At 37.9% G+C, this 17,017-nt stretch overlaps 1 protein-coding gene across 15 annotated transcripts in view, besides 5 other annotated features; it reads left to right on the top strand.

Annotated features, from left to right (window-relative positions):
* OXR1 (oxidation resistance 1) overlaps positions 1-17,017 on the top strand; it is a 482,517-nt gene that overhangs the window by 388,779 nt on the left and 76,721 nt on the right. For 2 of the 15 annotated variants that reach the window (XM_017013592.2, XM_047421920.1), the window contains exon 1: positions 194-359. The exons of the other annotated variants lie outside the window; for them this stretch is intronic. In XM_017013592.2, coding sequence (XP_016869081.1) covers positions 350-359 — 10 coding nt within the window. In that variant the 5' untranslated portion in view covers positions 194-349. Of the gene's footprint in view, positions 1-193; positions 360-17,017 lie in introns of those variants that run through there. 15 annotated transcript variants of the gene reach the window in all.
* Positions 1,430-1,930: an enhancer, noted in NCBI's record as "H3K4me1 hESC enhancer chr8:107672614-107673114 (GRCh37/hg19 assembly coordinates)". NCBI's record gives its function as "activates a minimal SCP1, AML or CMV promoter by ChIP-STARR-seq in primed H9 embryonic stem cells {active_cell/tissue: H9 hESC(primed)}" and the evidence as "EXISTENCE:reporter gene assay evidence [ECO:0000049][PMID:30033119]".
* Positions 1,931-2,431: an enhancer, noted in NCBI's record as "H3K4me1 hESC enhancer chr8:107673115-107673615 (GRCh37/hg19 assembly coordinates)". NCBI's record gives its function as "activates a minimal SCP1, AML or CMV promoter by ChIP-STARR-seq in primed H9 embryonic stem cells {active_cell/tissue: H9 hESC(primed)}" and the evidence as "EXISTENCE:reporter gene assay evidence [ECO:0000049][PMID:30033119]".
* Positions 4,903-5,403: an enhancer, noted in NCBI's record as "H3K4me1 hESC enhancer chr8:107676087-107676587 (GRCh37/hg19 assembly coordinates)". NCBI's record gives its function as "activates a minimal SCP1, AML or CMV promoter by ChIP-STARR-seq in naive H9 embryonic stem cells {active_cell/tissue: H9 hESC(naive)}" and the evidence as "EXISTENCE:reporter gene assay evidence [ECO:0000049][PMID:30033119]".
* Positions 11,232-11,291: an enhancer, noted in NCBI's record as "active region_27802". NCBI's record gives its function as "activates an Ori minimal core promoter by ATAC-STARR-seq in GM12878 lymphoblastoid cells {active_cell/tissue: GM12878}" and the evidence as "EXISTENCE:reporter gene assay evidence [ECO:0000049][PMID:35858748]".
* Positions 14,892-15,092: a silencer, noted in NCBI's record as "peak7139 fragment used in MPRA reporter construct". NCBI's record gives its function as "represses an SCP1 promoter by STARR-seq MPRAs in K562 erythroleukemia cells {active_cell/tissue: K562}" and the evidence as "EXISTENCE:reporter gene assay evidence [ECO:0000049][PMID:32103011]".

Genomic DNA, 17,017 nt, shown 5'->3' on the forward strand with positions numbered 1-17,017 from the left:
TAGCAGACATCCTAGCCATGTCTGATTTTTATTTTTGTTAATTGCTTTAATATTTGAGGGTTATGAAAATAAATGAGCATTAGAGAGTTTAGAAAATAGAGATAGGCACAAAGTGTGTAAAATCTGTTTATAACTCCACATCGTGCCAGTCATTTTATTTTAAATTTTATCTTACTTTATTTTTGTAGAGATGGAGTCTCGCTGTGTTGCCCAGGCTGGTCTTAACTCTTGGCCTCAAGTGATCCTCCTGCCTAGGCCTTCCCAAGTGCTGGGATTACAGGCCTGAACCACCATGCTGGGCCCTGCCAGTTGTTTTAAAGCAGTAAAACAGTGAGGACATTTTTGATCTATGTGTGTAGGTATGTAATTTAAGCTTTGAAGAAATATTAAAGTCTCATTTTAGCATAGCCCTTTAAAATAAATTTTCCTTACTTTACATAAAATATTTTTTATCTTTAGAAATGCTGTTTATGGAATTAGGAAATGAAAAGGGGAGGGGAATACTTTTGTTTCTGCTCTGAAGGACGTTAACCAAATGCAGAATCCTCTTAAAGGTGGGACCAGGCATAGGAAAGGGACTTTAAAGTGTTCAAATCAAGGACTTTTTAAAATGAGTTTTCAGTAGCCTAATTGAAAACAGTTGATGTGTGACCAGCCTTGAAATGGGTGGAGAATTCAGAAATATGTGGGGTAACTTAACTAAAAAGGAATATGGTTAGTATTTTAATAAATATGGCCAAACACGTGTATCTGATTCATTCGGTGGCCCGTGTCTGTAGTTCCAGCTACTCTGCTCAGGAGGCTGGGGCGGGAAGATCCTTTGAGCCCAGGAGGAGAATCCAGACTGGGCAGCAGAGAGACACTTATGTGTTTATATATGTGGAGCACACAGCTATATCTGACACCCTCCTTCAAAGTGGCGCTTCTGAAGTGATATGTATTCCTCTTCTGTTGAAGCTGCCTTATGTATTCATTGCATATTCTTTAATAGTCATGGTGCCCCCAAATCTCTGACACATTAGAGAGGCGTTGTGAGGTCAAAGTATGACCACAGTCATGTGGGCAGGTACGTCCTAGCATTAACTTCCTGAAAGAATTTGGACAAGTTACTTAGTGTCTTTGGGCCTATATTTTCTTCTTTGTAAATGAGGTTGGATTTGGTGATTTCAAAATTCTCTATTCTAGAGCATTTTCATTTGGAGCAGAATTAGTGAAAACTAGCTGACTTTTGAGAGGCAACGTGTATATACACAAGTGAAAAATAAATGATTCTTCATATGTTTCCAGCTAGCCTTTGTTTAAAATGAGAATTCTGTGCTTTGCAGCTGCTTCTCAGATGGATTTTGGCTCTAGGGTTGTTCTTTGTGTTTGTGTCCTTTAGAATGAGTGTCTGTCAGTCTGTTTGAAGGATTTCTTCTGCTCTTTCTACTCTTATTTCAGTTTCTTAATAGCTGCTTAAGTTTCCTGCTATCATTCTTTCTTCAGTTCTTTAAGAAGCCCTGTGTATTATAGGAGTATTTCTTGTTACAGATACTTTCACACATGTAAATTGACTGCATTCCAGGAAACCCTTTGTTGTTAGTGATCTTATTCCTCCTTTCATCCACTAAGATGAAAAAGTAGAACCTTGTTTCTGTTCCTTCTCACAACCCAACATCGGAGGAGTTACGCATCAAGAAGGGGTGGAGGGAGTCATGTTCAGCAATGATGTTGATAAGATAGTTTCACCATTGACAGATTAAGGATAGACCAGATAAAATTTTGGTCAAATGTCAGCCAGTTGCGGTGGCTCACGTCGGTAATCCCAGCACTTTGGGAGGCCGAGACGGGCGGATCACCTGAGGTCAGGAGTTCGAGACCAGCCTAGCCAACACGGTGAAACCCTGTCTCTACTAAAAATACAAAAATTAGCTGGGCGTGGTGGTGCGTGCCTGTAATCCCAGCTACCCGGGAGGCTGAGGCAGGAGAATCGCTTAAACCCAGGAGGCAAGGTTGCAGTGAGATCGCCCTACTGCACTCCAGCCTGGGCCACAGAACGAGACTCCATCTCAAAAATAAAACAAAAACAAAAATTAGCCAGGCATGGTGGCACACTCCTGGAATCCCAGCTACTCAGGAGACTGAGGCAGGAGAATTGCTTGAACCTGGGAGGTGGAAGTTGCCATGAGCCAAGATCACACCACTGCACTCCAGCCTGGGTGACAGAGTAAGATTCCATCTCAAACAAACAAACCAAAACCAAAAAAAACTTTGGTCAATGTTTCTGAGTTTACCCTTTCTATAAAGAAACCACTTACTGAACTGTTAATGTCTCTCCTTCCTTTACTCCTCTCCAAGGTGGCTGCTTTTGCTCTTACCAGCTTTTAGTGCTTGCTGGCTCCATCATTATAGCCCTCTCAGGAAAACCATAATTGAGACTTAGACATATTAAGGACATTATCACACCATTGATCTAGTTAATAACAATTACAAAGGAAACATCTTAAAATACAATGCTTGTTCCTGATTAACGGGTACATTATGCTTTGATTTTAAAAAATTGTTTTGAACTTTAAATATAGCTCTTGTTTGGGGGCATAACTATAACTCATAATGTATAATCTTTAAAAGTACTCACTTCACTAGATTATATTGTAATAAATATAGATAAATTTTACTAGTGTAGACTCTCAACTTACTGTCGTATAAACATGAAATCGTTTTTATCATAAGCGTCCTATTATATCAACCTCATTTTCCCACTTGGTGACAGGATTCTTTGAGCACAACTCAGCCCTTTTACATTTTCTTTTCATTTATTTTTAGCAATTAAAACTATCTTTCAGTTATTTAAGACTTGGTCCATTTATTTAAAAATTTCAGTCTCATATTCAATTTATATCTCCATTTACCTTTCTACCTCAGTTCCCATTCCAAGTTAGGTTGGTAGCGGAGAAGAGGTGTGGTCTAGCTCTCACAAACTCCCCTCCACCCCTTCTTGATGCATTAACTCCTCTGATGTTGGGATGTGGGAAGGAATAGAAGCAGGGGTCCACTTTTTCATTTTAGTCCTTTTTGGCCCCTTAGTGGGAGGATGACAATGGTGGATAGCAGTAGTAGCAGCAGTGATGGAACAGTTCTGCTAAAATGGCTACTCCTATGCAGAAGTGCTGACTTCAGTAGCCAACAGTTCTTTCAACTTTGAATCTGGGACATTAACATCTGGTAATACCAACCATAGACCTTAGTTGCAAATTGTTGTACTAGGCACCTAAAACTGCTCTGCCTCATAGCATATATGTTACTGGTATGTGTGTGTATATCAATAGAGTTGATGAAAAATGAAGTTAAGTGGGAATGTATTACATTTTTATGACTTGAATTATTTGACATGTCAAGGAAAAACTATTTAATAATAATATTTTTTTAAATGATTATCCCTGTTGCTGAAGTTTCATTTTAGGTTTACATTAAGCAAATCCTATGTACTGAATGTATGTAACTGAAGGAGAAGCGTTTAGAAGCCTGAGATTGATATTCTTGTTACTGGTTCACTTTTGATAATCATGGAAAATGTAAACCAAGACATGGAATAATAATTATAATAGACAAAACATATAGTGCTTGCTGTGTCTTACGCACAAGTTAACCCTCAGCAACAACCCTATGAGGTAATTAATAGTAGCATTTTCATTTTACTGGTGAGGGTACTGAGGTTCATTAATGATCCTGTCTAGTTGGGAAAATAGACATTGGACAAAGAATTTATAACTGTGTTGGTTATTGGGCATGGAATGTAAAATATATTATGGGAGTATATAAGAAGGGTTTCTAACCTAATATTGGGGGGTGTAAAATATCATGTTTTGCTTGGATTGGGGGTAATGTCTATTTCAGTAAATGGGATGATGATGATGATGATGATGATGATGATGATGATGATACTTGTAGTAATAACAGAAGTAGTAATACAGGTTGAGCATCCCAAATCAGAAAGTCCAAAATCTGAAACTTTTTGAGGGCCTACATGATGCTCAAAGGAAATGCTCTTTGGAGCATTTTGGATGTTTGGATTTGGGATGCTCAATCAGTAATGCACATATTCCAAATCCATCCTATCCTTTAGGAAGATTCAAAAAAATCCAAAACACTCCTGTTCCCAAGCATTTCAGATAAGTGGTACTCAGCCTATAGCAAGAATGATAGCTGTAATGGGGCAGGCTCTGAGCAAAAGTTTTTTATTTAATCCTAATAAAAACCTGATGACATAGTACTATTATTATCCTATTTTCCTTTTGAAAAATCTGAGCCAAAGAAAGAAGTGAGAAATTCAGAATTTATTTGGGTGTTTTCTTAGTATTTGCAAGAGTTACAGTCCTTGAGATAGGGGAAAAATGTGAGAAGAATTAAAATTCTATCATGTAAGGTATTAAAGTTAAATTAGTTAAGATTGTAAAGGATAGAATGGATTGTCATTGAAGGTTCTTTAGAGTTAGAAAGATAGTAAAATGACAGAGCTGGAAATGCAAAATCCAATGAGGGTGTGAGAAAAATTAGGTATATATTAGGTTGGAAATTGCCACCTCAGATGATGTGTTAAGAGTTAGATGATGGTTTATCTTGAACCCAGGAGGACCAAGTGCCTCTAAGGCAGGGGTCCCCAGCCCTGGTCCATGGCCTGTTAGGAACCAGGATGCACAGCGGGAGGTAAGCAGCAAGCGAGCCAGCATTACTGCCTGAGCTCTGCCTCCTGTTAGATCAGTGGGGACATTAGATTCTCATAGGAGTGTGAACTTTATTGTGAACTGCACATGCAAGGTCTAATCCCTGATGATCTGAGGTGGAACAGTTTCATTGAGAAGCCATCTCTCTCCCCATCCCCCACCCCTTGCCCACATGTCCATAATCCATAGTCTTCCATGAAGCCTGTCTCTGGTGCCGTAAAGGTTGGGGACCACTGCTTTAAGAGACCTGGAGTGTACCAGTTGTTACAGTAACTTTTTAAAACAACCACCACCACCACAAAACAAAAAACTCACAGTGTTGGTAGAAGATAACCCTAGCTGGCCCCAGTTTTAGTCTCTTTTCCTAAAGCCGGATGGGAGGAAGAGAATACTCTCTACTTGATCGGCAACCTCAGTGGGCTCTAGTGGTAACTCCCAACTAGTTAGCCTTTCTTAATAGTGTATCATTTAGTTCAGTGGTTCTCAGGCATGAGGTTGATTTGCCTGTTTTAGAATTGCTGCTTGTCTCACAGGATAGCTGATAGGAAGTTCTGTATTATCTATGTTGTAGAACAAAACTGCCTCTAAAATAAGCTGATGATTCTCAAACTTCAGCATGCAACAGAATCATCTCCTGAAGGGCTTGTTAGAAAAATATTGTTGAATACCTCTCCTAGAATTTGTGATTCTGTGTGGCTGAGAATTTGCATTTCTAACAAGTTCTTAAGTAATGCTGATGCTGCTGGTCTGGCAACCACACTTTTCTTAGTGGGTAAGTCTTTTATCCATGGGAAGGTTAGAAGTAAATATAGAAATGATGAAATTTATTAAATGCTTATATTAATAGTTTTGTTTTAAGTCTAGGAATAATCAGTGTATTTGGTCTTTAAGGTATTTGTTCTGTTTCATAGAATTAGGCCTATAAAAGTGGCCAACAAATTAGTCTTAAGAGTATAATTTAAAATGCATACTTGCGTAATTGTTTTTTGACTTGGGATTTTAAGTTGAAAGGTGCAACAATTTGGCTAAACTTAGAAACCACTGGAATGTTTAAGAACTTAACATTTATTATATTTAAAACTTAGTATAGGGTTTTTAATATTTTTCTCAGGAGGTTTACTTGTTAGAAGCAATGTGTTTAAAATAGAATATAGTAAATTTATAAATGCAGTTTAGTATAGTAAGTCCTCCTTTGACATCATCAATAGGTTTGTGGAAGTTGCACCTTTTAAGCAAAATGATGTGTAAAGAAACCAATTTTACCATAAGCTAATTGATGTAAACAAGAGTTAGGTTCCTACCATATATTTCTGGTCACAAAAACATTAGCAAACTTGTAAGTAAAGACCTAAAATACTTCCATTATTAAACATTGAAATAAATGTGAACTATGCAAACATTAAAGAAAGATTAATAAAGACAAGAGAATTATTTACTCAGTTATTCCAGTCAGAGTCACTGTTGGCTGGATCCTGTCCTGCTCATGGCACAAGGTGGGAACCAGCCCTAGACGGGACACCATTCCACCTCAGGGCACAGTCACACACACACACACGCACACAAACACACACATTCATACTAGGACAGTTTAAACACACTAATTAAGCTAATGTGCACATCTTTGGATGTGGGAGGGAACTGGAGTACCTGGAGAAAACCTATACAGATGTGGGTAGAATGTGTAAACTCCACACAGACAGTGGCCTTGTCTGGGAATTGATTTTTTGTTCTTATCAAAGTTATAACAAAACAATGATAACAAAACGATGTTATTCAAGGACCTGTAATATATGTAAGAGAACTTAGTTACCCATGTTTATAACAGGATTATTTAGGGATATTTAATTTTCCAGTTTGAGTTGGTCAGCTATTTAAAGCACCTTAGAAAGTGTTAAAATTTGCTAGATTATAAATAGAATGCACTTTTTATGGTAGAAGACAAGGGAAAGTAGGTTTTTATATTTTTAACTTCAAGAAATCTAACATTAAAAGTAAAGTGACTGCAGATAGTGTTTTTCTGTGTGTGAAGGCTTATTTCATGGCCACTAGGAAACTTACATTAGGAGACTCTTTATAAATGTTGTTCAATAGGTGATACTAGTACAAAAAGGAATGTGTTTTAGGGTCAAATACATACATTAGAGAAAGGACAAAAATTGGCTTTTATTTTCTAGCAGTAAATGGAAAGAAGGAAATGTAATCAGCCATAAATCACAGTGTCCCTAGGATAAAGATAAACCTGTTGCTTAGGCAGCCAGGAGAAACACAGTTATTCCTTATAGTGAGAATATAACAAAAAAAAAACTCATGGAACTCTGTAATAAAGCAAAACAAACCAAAAAGCTTATTTTTATGGTAAGTACAGACTTCAGTTTCAAAAATCTATTTTTAATTTTTTTAAACCCATTAAATCTTTAATGTAGTTCAATGGTGTAGCTCTAAACTGCAAGTTAGTAAAAGCACTTCTGTACAAGGGGAAAACAATTAATCCAAATATGCAGTTATCTAACAGTCCATCTTAACTGAGAGGTAGGTTTTACATTTTAAACTATAGATTTTAGATAGTTACGACTCTCTGTTTTGGATTTTTTTGAGAGTACTACTCAATAGAATTTTTTGAGGTGATGAAAATGGTCTGTATCTGTGATGGCCAGTATGGTAGCCACTAGGCAAATATGGCTATTGAGTATCTGAATTGCAGCTAATGCAAATGAGGAACTGGATTGAGAAAATTGGATTCAGGATTCTGTATTTGCTCTATCTAATATGGTAGCAACTAGTGTTAAAGGAAAAATTATTTGATAATACTTCCTAAAGCACAATAAGACAGACTTTATTCAGGACCATTGCAATAGGGATAGGGACTGTGGCAATGAGATTTTGTAGTTGAGGAGAGAGATTGGGCTCAACTCCAAATACAAAATGGGCAAGTGGGAATTTCTAGCCAAGGAGTAGAGTAAGGATAGATGGATGGACAATTGCTAAGAGGTAACGTCAGGAATAAGGGGTATTATGGTGAAACTGACCTACCAGGATTCTTGCTGAAGGCAGGCCAGAGTAATCAGACTTCACCTGGACAGTGGAGGATGAGAAAACTGATCAGATACGGAAGGTAATCAGATATCCAGGATCGGGGTGGGGGTTCCTGCTACACTGACCTTAACATGATTCTTGCTGAAACTCGGTTTTATAAGGAAGTGAACAGATTGGCATAGGAGAAGGTTCAGCAGCCTGACTAAAATTTGGCTATGCAAATAATCTTTGTGACTAGGCACATGTAGCTATTTTAATGTAAATTAATTTAATTAAGTAAAACTTTAAATTCAGTTTTCAGTCTCACTAGAGACATTTCAAGTACTCACAAGACAGATGGCTAGTGGCTACCATATTATACAAGGCAGATATAAAACATTTTTACCATTGCAGAAAGTTTTATTGGGCAGCATTGATAGCAATGAGTCCCAATGCAGGGTACACATTAGAATTCCCTGGGTAGCCATGAAAAAATTTTGATGCCAAGATCTGATTATAATCAAAGATTTGATCTTGAAATCTCTGTTTAAGATCTCCACTTACAGTTTCTTACGGAATTCTAATATGTAACTAGGGTTAAAAACCACTGACTTAGGATGTGAAGGACTCTACATCATTCTGTTTTCCTTAATGATATTTCTCTCAATCAAACTCTTGCTGAATTTAGCAGGTTATTATTTATTTATTTTTCTTTACAAGTACTTGGGGCATGCACCTATTTTATGATGCAAGTTAATAAAAGAAATGCATGTTTAAGTTTTCTGCCAACCTCTGGATAGTATTGAGACCTTAGGAAAGTTGAGGTGACTTACAATGAAAAGTTCCTAAAAGGAAGACATGTTTGTATGCTGAGAGAAAGATGCTGAAGATAAAATGACTGTGTGGCAAGGTCCTTGTGGAATAAATAAACTACTGGAATTATGATCATTCTTTTTTCACATGCCACAATTAAGAGCCATTAATATTGTGGAATATTTGCTTCCAGTCTTTTATACGAAATTAATTTTTAAAATAAACCTGATATATACTATATATAAATAAGTCATATGTTGCAAATACTGAACTTTAAAAATCACCTCTAATCCAGTCACCCAGAGATACTGTTAATATTTGGGTAGGCATTACTGCCAAGTAATGTACATCACTTCTATGTGTATGTACATATAGAAGGATGGATGGGTGGTTAGAAGGAGGGAGTGACAGAATGAAAGATAATACTTATTCACCACAAGAGGTTAATTCCTAAGGGGTGTGTCTAAATTTAAGCAAATTCTAAAAAAAAAAAAAAGAAAAAAAATTACAGATACTGTTATTACAATCTTGTTTCAGTTTTAGGTGGGATATATTTAACCATGCTTTGGTATGACATTAGCAGTTTCATTTCTCATTTTTCTCCTCCTCACATCCTAATATTTACTCATTTTACTATTTTTACATTGTCCATGTTTGTAACATTCATACTTAGTTTTTCAACCACTTTTTTATAACTTATTATTGTTCTATATTCTCTAGTAACCTTTTAGAATGTCCTCCTTGATTCTGGAGTTTTTGATACAATTGGCATAATTTCAGTCTTATAGCACTGAGTAATGTTTCAGTAGAGAAGTCTCATGCAAGCCAGCCAGATTCTTTTCCATTTCCCCTAGTAGATGATTTGCTTTTTATGCATGAATTGTTGAATAATTTTTTAAGCTCCCAAGCATAATAATTTAACTAAGAGTAGAAATGGGAATAGCCTGACTCATGTGCCCACATGTGTCTATGTGGAATAATCTTTTAGGAATTACACCTTTCTTCTGGAATACATGTTGATGGAGCAGCCACTATATGGAAGATCTCTGGTTTTGAGATAGAAAAGAGAGCTAAGAAGTACAATTTTGGCTCCAAACACTTCCACCTGGAAGACATATATGGTTCATTGGGCAAAGCAAGTTGGCCATGTCTGACATCAATAGGATGGTGAGGTATATTTTATATTCCTCAACAGGAAGGAATACAGGCTTAGTAACAATAATATAGTCTATCACCATGACTAATTTAGAAACCATTATATTAGTTTGACAGATTTGAAAACTGCTGGTGTTAACTGTCACAAATATGAAGTTATGTAGGGAAGCCCATTTCTTCTGTCACTTACGCAGTCTGCAGGTCTTTGATCTCTTCAGAAGCTCTATTTGTATGTCTCTCAAATGTGTTGTGCGTGCAAATCAATAGTAAATCTGTAGGTCCGGACTGAGCCTCAGATCTTACATTCACAGTAAGCTTCTGGGTGATGTCAATGCAGCTGGTCCCTGGAACACACTTTTAAATAGCAAGGCTCTATAGCTCTTTAATATCATGGATCTTTTCACTTAGAAGAGAGCCAACTTTAAGGTCTAGATGGAGGAAAAGGGGCAGTAAAAAGGAACATTAATGGGTATGAGACCAAGAGGAGTGTGAAATACTTTCAAATAAAGGGAAAGAGGAACATGCAGAAGAAGTCTCTTGGATGTTTCACAGAGATCAGATAAAAAAAAAGTGGAAAAGCCCATCAAATTTGCCATTTAATTTATTCATTTTAGGGTGGGGATTGTGAACTGGGGAAGAGAAGATATTACAATACATTGTGGATTCTGTAGGAGATAATGGAGTAAAGACAGTAAAAGTAGATTTCTACTTTCAAAAATTCAACTGAAAAGAAGCAGAAAGATGGAGTAGTATCTAGAAAAAGATAGATACTAGATTTGAGGGAAAATTGAGGGGTTTTGTTTTGTTTTTGTTTTGATCGTGGATAAGGAGTCAATAGTGAAATGTTGAAAATACAGGTTTTTTTCCCTAGTATCTCATTATTGAGAGAATTATTAGAAAAGCTACAATCAGCAATCTGTTTTTTTTTTAGTTTAGAAGATACTTTTAAAGTGTTTGAAGTTTTAGTATCTATATTACTGTTTTTGAAAATACTGACTTGCAGCTCAATGTTTTAAATAGTCAAACTTTTTATACATAGCTATTATCAATATTGTAATATTCAGTTATTATAGGAGTCTTTTATTACATTAAACCTGATCTCATAGTACGTTCATTGATGATTTCCAGACTTTCTACAGCATACCTTTCCATTTCTTTACCAAAATGATTTTTTTAAAGGTTTTATACTGCTCTGTTAATTCTCTGCTTGAAAGTCCTTCAGGAGTTCTGAGTCTAGTAATAGCAAGCTAGGTAATTCAGACTATCCTGCTGAGAACAATTTAAAAAGCTGGACACAAAGCAAACATTTTATTAAGGGTATCAGAAAGCTAAGTGGTATGGGTAGGATAGGATCTGAATGAGGACAAAGGTCTAAGGAGGGAGAACTCCAATTTGATTGCTTTTTACCCCAGGGGTAGTGTTGATTCCTGAAACAGGAACTGAGAGACCAAAAGGTGCATTTGACAGGCTGTGGGTATAATGGAACCGGGCCAGAGTGCAAGGCCTGTCACAGGGGATGGGTGGCCCTAGTGATCTCTTCTCACTTTGGACCCCAAAATGTTGTACATTAGGGAGAAAGATAAACTGAAGTAGCTAGGCCTCCCTAGGAAGATACTTCAACTTCAAATTATCAAAATTTCTGTAACTTAATTAATAAGATCTGGTATTACTAGTGTCCTCAGGCACTTGACAGAAGCAAACATTAATTCTTTCTGGAGAATTACCAGTTTCTACATGTAAAAATGTTTTGTCAGACGATTTTGCAAATTTTATGTTCTGCACACAAAATAGGCACATGACAAGATATGTGACACAATAGAGAATAGAAACAGGCCCACGGTAACTCTAGATATTCTAGTTATCAGATTTAAAATAGCTATGTTGAGAATTTTGACCTGATTAAGAATTTTGTAGAAAGTTACAAACTATGAGAAAGAAAAATGGATATTCTAGAAGTGAAAAATACAACCCCTCTAATTAGGACCTTTGTAGATGGATTTAGCAGCAAATTAGACACCGCAGAGGAAAGAATTCCCTAACTGAAAGGTAAGTCAAAAGGGAATGTTCAGAGTAAACAGGAAAGAGGAAAATATAGGAGAAGGTAAGTTCAATACAAGATACAGTGAGAAGTTCTAATATGTATGTACATATACATATGAATCCTGAAAGTAGATGAGAGATAGAATGGGCAAAAGCATTATTTAAAGAGAGAATGGCTGGCCAACATGGGGAAACCCTGTCTCTACTAAAAATATAAAAATCAGGCGTGGTGGTGCGTGCCTGTAGTCCCAGCTATTTGGGAGGCTGAGGCACAAGAATTGCTTGAACCTGGCAGGCAGAGGTTATAGTGAGCCAAAATTGCACCTCTGCACTCCAGCCTGGGTGACAGAGTGAGACTCTGTCTCAAAAAAAAAAAAAAAAAAAGAATGGCTGAAAACGTCCAAACTAAAGAAAAACTTTAATTCAGATTCAAGCATCCCTATCAACCTCTAGTGGAAACCACACCAAAGGCAAAAAAAAAAAAAAGGAAAAAATAGTGTTTCTACCTTCAATCATACAGCATTAAGATGGACATTGATTTCTCAACAGACACAGTAAAAACTAAAAAACTGGGAACCTATAGATTTAAAATGTTAAAAGAAAGTACCTGCCACCTAGAATTCTGTGACCTGTGAAATTTCCCAGAGATACAATAATAATCATAAATATGAGAGCAAAACTAAATCAACCTTGACTATCTTAAAAATAATGTTTTTTAAATACGCATGTATTCAGCGTGTAAAACTGTTTCATATATCTTGGCAGTGGCAGACAGTTTTTAACATCCTTGCATTGTCTGGGAAGAGGATAAAAGTACCAGTTAATATTAGGCTGTGAGCATATGTTTATTGCAGCACTATTCACAATAGCAAAGACTTGGAACCAACCCGAATGTCCATCAGTGATAGACTGGATTAAGAAAATGTGGCACATATACACCGTGGAATATTATGCAGCCATAAAAAATGATGAGTTCATGTCCTTTGCAGGGACATGGATGAAGCTGGAAACCATCATTCTCAGCAAACTATCACAAGGACAGAAAACCAAACACTGCATGTTCTCACTCATAGGTGGGAATTGAAGAACGAGAACACTTGGACACAGGAAGGGGAACATCACACACCAGGGCCTGTCGTGGGGTGGGGGGAGGGGGGAGGGATAGCATTAGGAGATATACCTAATTGTAAATGACGAGTTAATGAGTGCAGCACACCAACATGGCACATGGATACATATGTAACAAACCTGCATGTTGTGCACATGTACCCTAGAACTTAAAGTATAATAATAATAATAATAATAATAATAATAATAATAATAATAAAAGGCTGTGAGGAGTCAGTAATTCAGACTTTTTATCTCTGGGATGACCACTAAAAGAATTGTTTAAAAAAATGTGTAACTTTCAGATATGTGGGGAAAAACCGGAGTTAATAAATACTGAATCCAAGGAAGGCAACAAAGGAGAGAAGTCTAAAAGAACAGGTAGACAGATAGAAAATAGAACAAATAGTGCTGGGCACAGTGGCTCATGCCTGTAATTCCAACACTTTGGGAGGCCAAAGTGAGTGGATCGCTTGAGGTCAGGAGTTTGAGACCAGCCTGACCAATATAGTGAAACTCTGTCTCTACTAAAAATGAAAAAAAAAAAAAAATTAGCTGGGGTTGGTGGCGTGTGCCTGTAGTCCCAGCTACTCAGGAGGCGAAGGCAGGAGAATTGCTTCAACCTGGGAGGTTGGGGTTGCAGTGAGCCAAGATCGTGCCACTGTACTCCAGCCTGGGCAACAAAGTGAGACTCCATCAAAGAAAGAAAGAAAGAGAGAGAAAGAAAGAAAGAGAGAGAGAGAGAGAAAAGAAAAAGAAAAGAAAGAGAGAAAGGAAGGAAGGGAAAGAAAGAAGAAATAAACAAAAAGGACCTGCTTAGATACACACCAGAAACATAACGTCATATGGTTAGGCTTTGTGTCCCCACTCAAATCTCATCTTGGATTATAATCCCGATAATCCCCACATATCAAGGGAGAAACCAGGTGGAGGGAATTGGATCATGGGGGCAGTTTCCCCCATGCTGTTCTTCTTGTGATAGTGAGGTCTCATGAGTTCTGATGGTTTTATAAGTGTTTGATAATTCCTCCTGCCTTTATTCTCCCTCCTGCCACCTTGTAAAGAAGGTGCCTTGCTTCCCCCTTTGCTTTCTGCTATGATTGTAAATTTCCTGAGGCCTCTCCACCCATGCAGAACTGTGAGTTAGTTAAACCTCTTTCCTTTCTAAATTACCCAGTCTTGGGCAATTCTTTATAGCAGTGTGAGAACAGACTAATACAGTAAATTGGAACTACAAAGTGGGGTACTGCTATAAAGATACCCAAAAATGTGGAAGCGACTTTGGAACTGGGTAACAGGCAGAGGTTGGAACAGTTTGGAGGGCTCAGAAGAAGACAGGAAGATGTGGGAAAGTTTGGAACTTCCTAGAAACTTGTCGAATGGCTTTGACCAAAATGCTGATAGTGATAATGGTAAATGAAGTCCAGGCTGAGGTGGTCTCAGATGGAGATGAGGAATTTGTTGGGAACTGGAATAAAGTTGGCTCTTGCTATGCTTTACAAAGAGACTGGTAGCATTTTGCCCCTGCCCTAGAGATATATAGAACGTGAGAGAGATGAAATAGGGTATCTAGCAGAAGAAATTTCTAAGCAGCAAAGTGTTCAAGAGGTGACCTGGGTGACCGTAAAATCAGTCAGTTTTATGGATTCACAAAGAGATGGTTTGGATTTGAAGCTTATGTTTAAATGGGAAGCAGAGCTAAAAAGTTTGGACAACTTGCAGCCTGACAATGCAATAGAAAAGAAAAACCTGTTTCTGAGGAGAAATTCAAGCCAGCTGCAGATACTTACTTAAGTAACGAGGAGACAAATGTTAATCACCAAGACAATGGGTAAAATGTTTCCAGGGCATGTCAGAGACCTTCGTGGTTGCCCTTCCCATCACAGGCCTGGAGACTTAGGAAGAAAAAAATGGTTTCATGGGCCAGACCCAGGGCCTTGCTGTTCTGTGCAGTTTCAGGACACAGTGCCCTGAATCCCAGCTGTGGCTAAAAAGGGCCAACATACAGCCCAGGCCATTTATTTAGAGGATACAAGTCCTAAGCCTTGGCGGTTTACGTGCGGTGGTGTGCCTGTGGGTGCCCAGAACTCATGAATTGAGGTTTGGGAACCTCTGTCTAGATTTCAGAGGATGTATGCAAACACCTGGATGTCCAGACAGAAGTTTGCTGTAGGGGTGGAGCCCTCTTGGAGAACCTTTGCTAGGGCAGTGCAGAAGTGAAATGTGGGGTCAGAGCCCCCACCTAGAGTCTCTACTGGGGCCCTGCCCAGTGGAGCTGTGAGAAGAGGCCTACCTTCCTCCAGACCTCAGAATGGTAAATCCACTGACAGCTTGCACTGTGCACCTGGAAAAGTTGTAGGCACTCAATGCCAGCTAGCGAAAGCAGCTGGGAGAGGGGCTGTACCCTGCCAAGCCACAGGGGTGGAACTGCTCAAGGCCATGGGAGCTCACCTCTTGCATCAGTGTGACCTGGATGTGAGACATGGAGTCAAAGGAGATTATTTTGAAACTTTAAGATTTAATGACTGCCCTGCCAGATTTTGGACTTGCGTGGGACCTGTAGTCCCTTTGGTTTGCCTAATTTCTACCATTTGGAACAGAGACATTTACCCAATGTCTGTACCCACATTGTGTCTTGGAAGTAACTAACTTGCTTTTGATTTTACAGGCTTATAGGCAGAAGGAACTTGCCTTGTCTCGGGTAAGACTTTGGACTTGGATTTTAGGGTTAATGCTGGAGTGAATTAAGACTTTGGGAGACTGTTGGGAAGGCATGATTGGCTTTGAAATGTGAAAGGGACATGAAATTTGGGAGGGGCCAGGGGCAGAATGATATGGTTTGGCTTTGTGTCCCCACCCAAATCTCATCTTGAAATATTATCCCCATACTCTCCCTGAGTTAAGGGAGAAACCAGGTGGAGGTAATTGGATCATGGGGGTGGTTTCCCTAATGCTGTTCTTGTGATAGTGAGTTCTCATGAGATGTGATGGTTTTATAAGTGTTTGGTAGTTCCTCCTGAGTTCATTCTTCCTCATGCTGCCTTGTGAAAAAGGTGCCTGGTTCCCCTTTGCCTTCCGCTATGACTTAAGCTGAGGCCTCCCCAGCCATGTGGAACTGTCAGTCAATTAAACCTCTTTCCTTTCTAAATTATCCAGTCTTGAGCAGTTCTTTATAGCAGTGTGAGAACAGACTAATACATAAGGATACAGAAATGTTGAGAGTAGAAAGAAAAAGCAGAAACTAATGAAAAGAGAATTGGTACATTAATATTAGACAAAGAATACTTTATGGAAACAGTATTCTGAGAAAAAGTTTAATTTTCCAGGAAGATATAATTTTCGATTTGTATGAGCCTAATAACATGGTCCCAATGTATAAAAAGCAAAGTAGGGAGACCTACTGGGAACCAAATAACCCATAATTTAGAGTGAGAGATATTAACAACCTCCATTGGTAACAGAATAATCAGACAAAAACAAATCAATACAAATATACAGAATTTGACTAACACAGTCCACAAACTTGACCTCATGGATATGTAAATACATGTGTGTGCATGTATGCATACACATATATAAAACACTAAACCCTGCAGTGCAGAGTATACATTATTTTCAAGCATATATGGGGCATTTACAAAATTTATACATCTTATAAGTTTCCCTCTTAACACTATCTTAGCTGTGTCCCAGAGATTCTGGTATGTTATATCTTTGTTCTTATTAGTTGCAAAGAACTTCTTGATTTCTGCCTTAATTTCATTATTTACCCAAAAGTCATTCAGGAGCAGATTATTCAGTTTCCATGTAATTGTATAGTTTTGAGTGAATTTCTTAGTCTAATTTTTCTAATTTGATTTTGCTGTGGTCCAAGAGACTGTTTGCTATGATTTTAGTCCTTTTGCATTTGTTGAGGAGTGTTTTACTTCTGAATACGTGATCAGTTTTAGAGTATGTGCCATGTGACAATGTATATTCTGTTGTTTTTGGGTGGAGAGTTCTGTAGAGATTAGGTCCATTTGCTCCAGTGCTGAGTTCTGGTCTTAAATATCTTTGTTAATTTTCTGTCTCAGTGATCTGTCTAATATTGTCAGTGGGGTGTTAAAGTCTCTGAGTATTATCGTTTGGGAGTATAAGTCTCTTTGTAGGTCTCTAAGAACTTGCTTTATGAATCTGAGTGCTCCTGT

Source organism: Homo sapiens, chromosome 8 (assembly GCF_000001405.40).
Source record: "Homo sapiens chromosome 8, GRCh38.p14 Primary Assembly".
NCBI lineage: Eukaryota > Metazoa > Chordata > Mammalia > Primates > Hominidae > Homo > Homo sapiens.